The sequence below is a fragment of the Homo sapiens genome, chromosome 7 (assembly GCF_000001405.40).
Source record: "Homo sapiens chromosome 7, GRCh38.p14 Primary Assembly".
NCBI lineage: Eukaryota > Metazoa > Chordata > Mammalia > Primates > Hominidae > Homo > Homo sapiens.
Window position 1 is genome coordinate 1,618,979 of NC_000007.14, and position 8,198 is coordinate 1,627,176.

At 55.2% G+C, this 8,198-nt stretch overlaps 1 long non-coding RNA gene across 1 annotated transcript; it reads left to right on the forward strand.

Annotated features, from left to right (window-relative positions):
- The first annotated feature begins 616 nt into the window (after positions 1-616).
- Positions 617-2,426, forward strand: LOC105375303 (uncharacterized). Its single transcript, NR_165252.1, has 2 exons — positions 617-1,146; positions 1,679-2,426. It is a non-coding gene; the product is annotated as an uncharacterized LOC105375303 (long non-coding RNA).
- Positions 2,427-8,198: the final 5,772 nt, after the last annotated feature.

The window sequence follows — 8,198 nt, forward strand, 5'->3', positions numbered from 1 at the left end:
GGGGTGTGTGTAGGTGTGTGTATGTGGGGGGGTGTGTTATGTAGTGTGTGTAGGTGTGTGTAGGGGTGTGTGTAGGTGTATGTGTGTGTATGTGTGTGTGTAGGTGTGTGTGTATGTAGGGGTGTGTGTAGGGGTGTGTAGGGGTGTGTAGGGGTGTGTGTAGCTGTATGTGTGTGTAGGGGTGTGTGTAGGTGTGTGTGTATGTAGGGGTGTGTGTTATGTAGGGGTGTGTGGCGGTGTGTGTATAGGGGTGTGTAGGTGTGTGTAGGGGTGTGTGTAGGTGTGTGTAGGTGTGTGTGTATAGGGGTGTGTAGGTGTGTGTAGGGGTTGTGTGTAGGTGTATGTGTGTCGGGGTGTGTGTAGGTGTGTGTAGGTGTGTGTGTGTAGGGTGTATGTACATGTAGGTGTGTGTGTGAGTGTGGGTGGCGCGAGGGTTCTCCAGCCCCAAGTGCGTTGGTAAGAACGCGAGGAGGGGAGAAGGACAGCTGGAACCGTCTGAGCGGCGGGGGAGCCGGTGTGTGAAGCCGGCACCACGTTAGCGGAACCGAGTTATTGAAGGGCCCCACCTGGGTGGAGCCGTGAGTGTGAGCAGCTTCCGCTTCCCCCGGAAGCTGGCGTCGTGCAGGAACCCTCACCCGCCCGAGCGGGGCCCTGGGCCTCCGGGTCACTCTCTGTGGCGGGGTCTGGCTGCGCGTCAGACGGCCTCCTCCAATGCCCGCAGTTGCTGTCGCCCCCAGGCCTGGACCGGGGAGTGAGGGGTGGGCCTGACCGGCCCCTGAGCTCCCGTCAGCCCCCCACGCGAGCCCGTCCTGTGCTGGGGGCAGGGAGATGGGCCGGTGGGAGAGGAGACCGCATCCAGCCCTCCCTGGCCACCTGCAGGGTCCCCACCGTGGCGGCTGCTTTACTGCTAACTCCTCCCGGGGACCCCAAGTCCCCATCGCTCTCGGGGGTCCCCCTCATCCGAACCGCCTCGGAGGAGGGCCGCATCTCACGCGGAGCACCCCTCCACGCCTGTGACCCTGGACTTGCTCTCCCGCCCCCGCCCGGGCCTCAGGGCTCAGGAGGCCGTGATGAAGCCAGCAGGTGAACTGCACCCTGGAGCCTCCGACGGGGCGGCCACGGGCAGCGAAGAACCCGGAAAAACAGGTTCGAGGCAGACACAAGATCCAGGCCCCGGCAGGCTCCGTGTCTGCCGAAGGCTTCCTGGGTCATAGGCGACACCTTCCCGCCGTGCCCTCTTGTGGGAAAGGGGTGAGGGAGCCCTCTGGGGCTCCTTTTATTTATTTTTAATTTTTTAATTTTTTAATTTTTTGAAGTGGAGTTTTGCTCCTGTTGCCCAGGCTGGAGTGCGGTGGCGCAACGTCGGCTCACCGCAAGCTCCGCCTCCCGGGTTCAAGGGATTCTCCTGCCTCGGCCTCCCGGTGGCTGGGATTACAGGCGCCTGCAACTACACCCAGCTAATTTTTTGTATTTTTAGTAGAGATGGGGTTTCACCATGTTGACCAGGCTGGTCTCAAACTCCTGACCTCAGGTGATCCGCTTGCCTTGGCCTCCCAAAATGCTGGGGGTCACAGGCGTGAGCCACCTCACCCGGCCGTGAAATTTGTATTTTTAAACTTTGTATAAATGGTATTTTGCTGTCCGTGACATTCAGCAACTTGCTCTTCTCACCCCACAGTACCCTTCTGAGGTTAATCCGCGTTGATAGAAGCAGGTGTGGTTCATCTGGAATCTGTTGGTGTGAACTGCGCGGCGGCGTCCCCCACCAGGCACCACAGGTGATTCATTCGTTTCCCTGAAAAGGCGCCTGGATGCTGTTTCTAGCTCCCGTTATCCCCAGCGATGCTGCACCTGCCCCAGGACACACGCTAGGGTGGAACCGCCGGGCATGGAGCAGGTGTGGTCTCAACCGCAGGAGAAACAGCCGGGTAGCCTCCAAAGGGACGTGCCACTTGGCGCTCCTGCAAGGGGAGAGGCACTGAGGCTCTCGGTCCTCACCAGCACGTCCTTGTGCCACACTCAGGCCCGGCGGGTGGTGTGGGGGCCGCATCTCATGGAGGTCTCCGTCCACGTTGCCCCCATTGTGACCGCAGCGGGCGCCTCTTGGTAGCAGCCACCGGCCTCTTCTGGGACTCGCCGGAGGGTTTCCACGTCGCCCGCTCCGACGGGGCTGTTCATCTCCCCTTGATCTGTGGGACTCCCCGTCCGTCTCAGGTATGACCCCTTTGTTGGTGATCTGGGTTGCAGATATCCCCTCTGTGTCTGTGGCTTGTCTCGCTGCGTTGTTTATGGTGCGCTTTTGTCATGCAGACGTTTCTAATTTTGCTCTGTCTGGACTTGGCAATCTTTCTGTTCGTGATTTGTGCTTTTGGTGTTTATGTACAAACTCTTTCCCGGTCCAGAAAGCATAAAAAAGTTTGCTTTGTGCGCTGAGGTCTCTAATCCATGTCACAGGAATTTGTGGCGGGTTGGGGCAGAGGCTTTGCTTAGCGTTTTCCATCAGGTGAGCCCATTTCCCCAGATTGACTGCACAGCCCGTGCTCCGCAGGGTCCCACACTGGCCTCTCTGAGAGGCTGTGTTGCTAGACCTCCATCTACTCAAAGCTTCCGGGTGATGAATGGGGAGATTTGAGTTTCTGGAAGCCAAGGGGAGGGGCACAGGATTGCAGGAGCAGAGAGAGGTGAGGAGGGCCTGGGGTGACAGGTGGCTGCCCCACTCATAGGTGGCCAGATCCCGGGGAAGGGGTGGCAGGTGGGGAACTCCTGGGGGGTGCAGTGGGAATAATACAACAAACCAAGACTCAAGACCAGCCTGGGCAGCACGGCGAGGCCTGTCTACTAAAAATACAAGCATTAGCCCGGTGTGGTGACGCAAGCCTGTCATCCCAGCACTCTGGGAGGCCAAGGTGGGAGAGGGGGGTCACCTGAGGTCAGCCTGGGCAACAGGGCGGAACTCCGTCTTTACTAAAAATTCAAAAATTAACCGGGCGTGGTGGCAGGTGCCTGTAATCCCAGCACTTGGGGAGGCTGAAGTGGGCGGATCACTTGAGGTCAGGAATTCGAGACCAGCCTGGCCGACACGGTGGAACCCCATCTCTACTAAAAATACAAGAATTAGCAGGGTGCAGTGGCTGACGCCTGTAATCCCAGCACCTTGGGAGGCCGAGGCGGGCTGATCACCTGAGCTCAGGAGTTTGAGACCAGCCTGGCCAACATGGCGAGACCCTGTCTCTACTGAAAATACAAAATTAGCTGGGCGTGGTAGCAGGCACCTGTAGTCTCAGCTACTCAGGAGGCTGAGGCATGAGAATCATTTGAACCCAGGAGACGGAGGTTACAGTGAGCCAAGATCACACCACTGCACTCTAGCCGGGGTGACAGAGCAAGATTCTGTATCAAAACAAAAACAAATGAAGAAAGGAGACATTCCAAAGGGAAGGACAGCATTCAGGTTCTGTTTTTGGGGTTCTGTGATGATATAAGCATCCTTCATTCCCTCAAAAGCTTCCCATAGGTCTACTGCGTACACAAAGGCCTTGTTTGAGGGTTGGTCTTCAAGGCGGGCGAGCACAGGGCCTCACGTTGGGGCACCCAGCTCCCTGCCAGCCCAGCCTATCCGACCCGTGAGACCTCTCTGCCCTCAGGTCCCCCCGCCCCAGGAAGTGAGGCGTGTGAAGTAAGGTAGGGGAGATGGGGGAGTGGGGTGGAGGCAGTGGGCTTGTGTCGTCAAAGTCAGCCCAGGCTCACCATCTACCTGCTATGCCAGCAAGGGTCCCAGAGGGGCCCAGGCTCACTCAAGGCTACGTGGCAAGTTAGAAGAGTGAGAAGCAGGGCTGGTGAGGCTACTCACACCTATAATCTCACTGCTTTGGGGGTCCAAGGCAAGAGGATCCCATGATCCCAGGAGGTTGAGACCAGCCTGGGCAACATAGCAAGACTCTATCTCTGTAAAATTTGTTTAAAAAATTAGCTGGGGGGGGCATCAGGCGCGGTGGCTCACACCTGTAATCCCAGCACTTTGGGAGGCCGACGTGGGCGGATCACAAGGTCAGGAGATCAAGACCATCCTGGCTAACACGGTGAAACCCTGTCTCTACTAAAAAAAAAAAAATACAAAAAAATTAGCTGGGCGTGGTGGCAGGCACCTGTAGTCCCAGCTGCTCGGGAGGCTGAGGCAGGAGAATGGCGTGAACCTGGGAGGTGTAGCTTGCAGTGAGCCGAGGTCACGCCACTGCACTCCAGCCTGGGTGACAGAGCGAGACTCTGTCTCCAAAAAAAAAAAAAAATTAGCTGGGGGTTGGCAGCCCCAGCACTCTGGGAGGCCGAAGCAGGAGGATCACTTGTGATCAGGATTTCAAGACCAGCCTGGCCACGATGGTGAAACCCACATCTCTACTAAAAATACAAAAATTAGCCAGGTGTGATGGTGCACGCCTATAATCCCAGCTACTGGAGGCAGGACAATCACTTGAACCCAGGAGGCAGATGCAGTGAGCTGAGATCATGCCATTGCACTCCAGTCTGGGTGACAAAGCCAGACCCTGTCTTTAAAAAAAAAAAAAAAAAAAAAAAAAGCCAGGCATGGTGGTGCACACGTGATCTCAGTTACTCGGGAGACTGAGGCAGGAGAATTGCTTGAACCTGGGAGGTAGTGGGTGCAGTGAGTCAAGATCACGCCACTGCACTCCAGCCTGGGCGACAGAGCCAGACTCCATCTCAAAAAAAAAAAAAATATATATATATATATATATGTATATATATAGCTGCGTATGCTGGCATGAACCTGTAGTCCCAGCTACTCAGGAGGCTGAGATGAGAGGATCACTTGAGCCCAGGAGGTCGATGCTGCAGTAAGCTATGATCACACCACTGCACTGCAGCCTGGGTGACAGAGAGAAACACTCAGAAAAAAGAAAAGCTAGGGGCCGACCCCAGACTCTGTGCTCCCAGAGGCAGCTCTGCCTGTGCAGGACAGCAGCCACGGCCGAGGGTGGGGACGCCTGGAGATGCCCAGTGATGCTGCCCCGGCGTCTTCTCCTCCACCCGGCCCTCCTCCTCACTCAGTCCCTGGGCTCACACCTCACACCACGGGGACATGGGGTACAATGCGGATGCTCAGGTAGGAGTTAGAGGCTCGGGCCCCAGGGAAATGGAAGCACTGGAGCCATTGTCAGAAAAGCAGGGGTAGCTGGGCATCTAGGGGCCTGGGTGGGCCGGGAGGTATATTCGTTTGCGAGCAGGGCTGTAGCAGGTGTGACAGAGCAGAGGGTTGAACAACAGGCAATTACTTCTCACCGTGCTGTAGGCTGGAGTCCAAGATGAAGGTGTCCTCAGGGCAGATTCCTCCTGAGGCCTCGCTCCTGGGCTTGCAGACGCGGTCTCCCCCATGTCCTCATGGGGTCAGCCCTGTGTGTCCTGATTTCCTCTTCTTAGAAGGACACCAGTTGGGATTGGATTAAGGCCCACCCCTATGACCTCATCTCATCTTAATCACCTCTTTTCATTTGTTTTTTGTTTTTGAGACGGAGTCTCGCTCTGTCACCCAGGCTGGAGTGCAGTGGCGTGATCTTGGCTCACTGCAACCTCTGCCTCCCAGGTTCAAGCTATTCTCCTGCCTCAGCCTCCCTAGTAGCTAGGATTACAGGCACGTACCACCATGGCTGGCTAATTTTTGTATTTTTAGTAGAGATAGGGTTTCACCATGTTGGCCAGGCTGGTCTTGAACTCCTGACCTCGTGATCTGCCCACCTCAGCCCCCCAAAGTGCTGGAATTATAGGCGTGAGCCACCGCGCCCGGGCTTAATCGCCTCTTTAAAGGCTGTGTCTCCAAACAGAGTCTCATTCTGAGGTTCTGGGGTCAAGTCTTCAGGGTATGAAGCTGGGGGAACACAACAGAGCCCCTAAAAGGGGGCACAGGGATGGAGGAATGTGAGGGGCGGTGGGACCTGGAGCCATTGGCCCAGCCCTTTCCACCTGCAAGGGGCCTGCGGGAGGTCCCATGAATGGGGGTGTGGGTATCACTGAAGATGGGTGTGTGCAGGGTGTGACAACATGTGGGACATGGGACTGCCAGGACAGAGACACCTTGGGGGCCTTTTAAGGGTCAGGGACCCCACACCATGCCATCAGCAGGAAGCCTCAGGGACAGGTGGCATTGAGAACCCACTGCCCTGCCTTCTACACATTAGGAGCCCAGACCCAGCACTGCAAGGAGAAGGGAGGGGAGCTGAGATGGTCAGAGGCTGTTTCCATCGCCCTAGAGAGGCAGAGGCAGCCCACAGCCCGGTTACAGATAATCACGAATTGCCCCTTCCCCAGCACCCCTCAGTTTGGGGCCCGAGCTGGCCCTGCAACATGCCTGTGTCTTGTTGCTTCTCTTGGGGTCCACACATCCACCCAGAGTCTGGGGCAAAGTCACCAAGAAAGACCAGTTCCCTCCAAGCCAGAAACAGGAATTCTTGAAGCCACAGTAGTTAAGAGTTCCCTCGTCCAGGGACACCACCAGCTCAGAGCTAGCGGCTGTACCTGTAGGAAGAAGAGGGGTCTGGGGAAGAGGAGGGATCCCTAACAGGCCAGCTCCCCACTGCTCTCTCCCCCATGCCTTGTCATTGGATCTGAAGCCTGAAAGCTGTGGGCTGGGAGGTGGCGTTGGCGGGGTCTTAGGCTTGAAGGCTTAGCTGTGGGTGTGGAGGGGGAACAGCAGCCCCAGTGTCCAGCCCTTGGGCCCCTTCTCCTCCAGCTCCCTCCAGGAACGGGAGTCCTCCCACGGCGGGATTAGGTGTGGGAGATGGGACCGGCAGCCCCTCTGAGGCCGTCTGAGCCCCGGGGCATGAGGCATCTGCTTCAGACTGTGAGAGGGTTCCACGCAGGTGTGTGGGGAAAGGAAGGGGCCACTGATCGGGGTGAGCGTGGTGGGGCGTCCACCTTACATCTCCCCCCTCCCTCCATTCGGGACTTCACTTGGACATTACCTTCTCTGTGTTTTAAATTTGTATTTATTTTCATTACTTTTAAAAGTAAACAATTTTGTTTTCTGAGACAAGGTCTCTCTTGCTCTGTCACTCAGGCTGGAAGTACGGTGGCACGATCACAGCTCACTGCGGCCTCAACCGCCTGGGCTCACATGATCCTCCTGCCTCAGCCTTCCAAGTAGCCGAGTAGGTGCGTGGCTGGCTGATTTTTAAATCTTTTGTAGAGATGTGGTCTGGCCGGGCCTGGTGGCTGACGCCTGTAATCCCAGCACTTTGGGAGGCCGAGGCAGATGGATCACTTGAGGCCAGGAGTTCAAGACCAGCCTGGACAATATGGTGAAACCCCATCTCTACTAAAAATACAAAGATTAGCTGGGCATGGTGGCAAGTGCCTGTAATCCCAGCTACTAGGGAGGTTGAGGTGGGGAGAATTGCGTGAACCCAGGAAGTGGAGGTTGCAGTGAGCCGAGATCTCACCATTGCACTCCAGCCTGGGCAGGAGAGCGAGACTCCATCTCAAAACAAACAAACCCAGAGACATGGTCTTAGGCTGGTCTCAAACTGCTGGGCTCAAGCGATCTTTCCACCTTGGCCTCCTAAACTGCTGGGATTACAGGCATGAGCCACCGGCACCTGACCCTTTTTTTTTTTTTTTTTTGGTTGTAAAATTCACATAATGTAAAATTTACTGTTTTAGTCACTTCAAAGTGACAATACAGTGGAATCAATTTCACTCACAATGTTGCACGACTACCACCCCCAGCTCTCCCTGGTTCCCAAACATTTTCCCCACTTCCAAAGAAACCCCATTAAACAGTCACTCCTGAGCCCCTGGCCCTCAGGCCCTGGCAACCACCAATCAACTTTTGGTCTCTATGAATTTGCTTCTTCCAGAGATGACATATTAATGGAACCCTATAATATGTGCTTTCTTTGTGTCTGGCTTCTTTCACTTACATCCTAATGTCTTCAGAGTTGATCCGTGTTGCAGTGTGTATCAATACTTTATTCCTTTTTCATGGCTGCATAATATTCCATGGTATTGAGAGACCACATTTTGTTTATCCATTCATCCATTAATGGATATTTGGGTTGTTTCCACTTTTTGACAAGTGCAAATAATGCTCCTATGAACATTTGTGTACAAGTTTTTGTGTGACACCTGCTTTCAGTTCTTTGAGGTCTGTACATAAGAGTGGAATTGTTGGGTTGTATTGTAATGTTCTG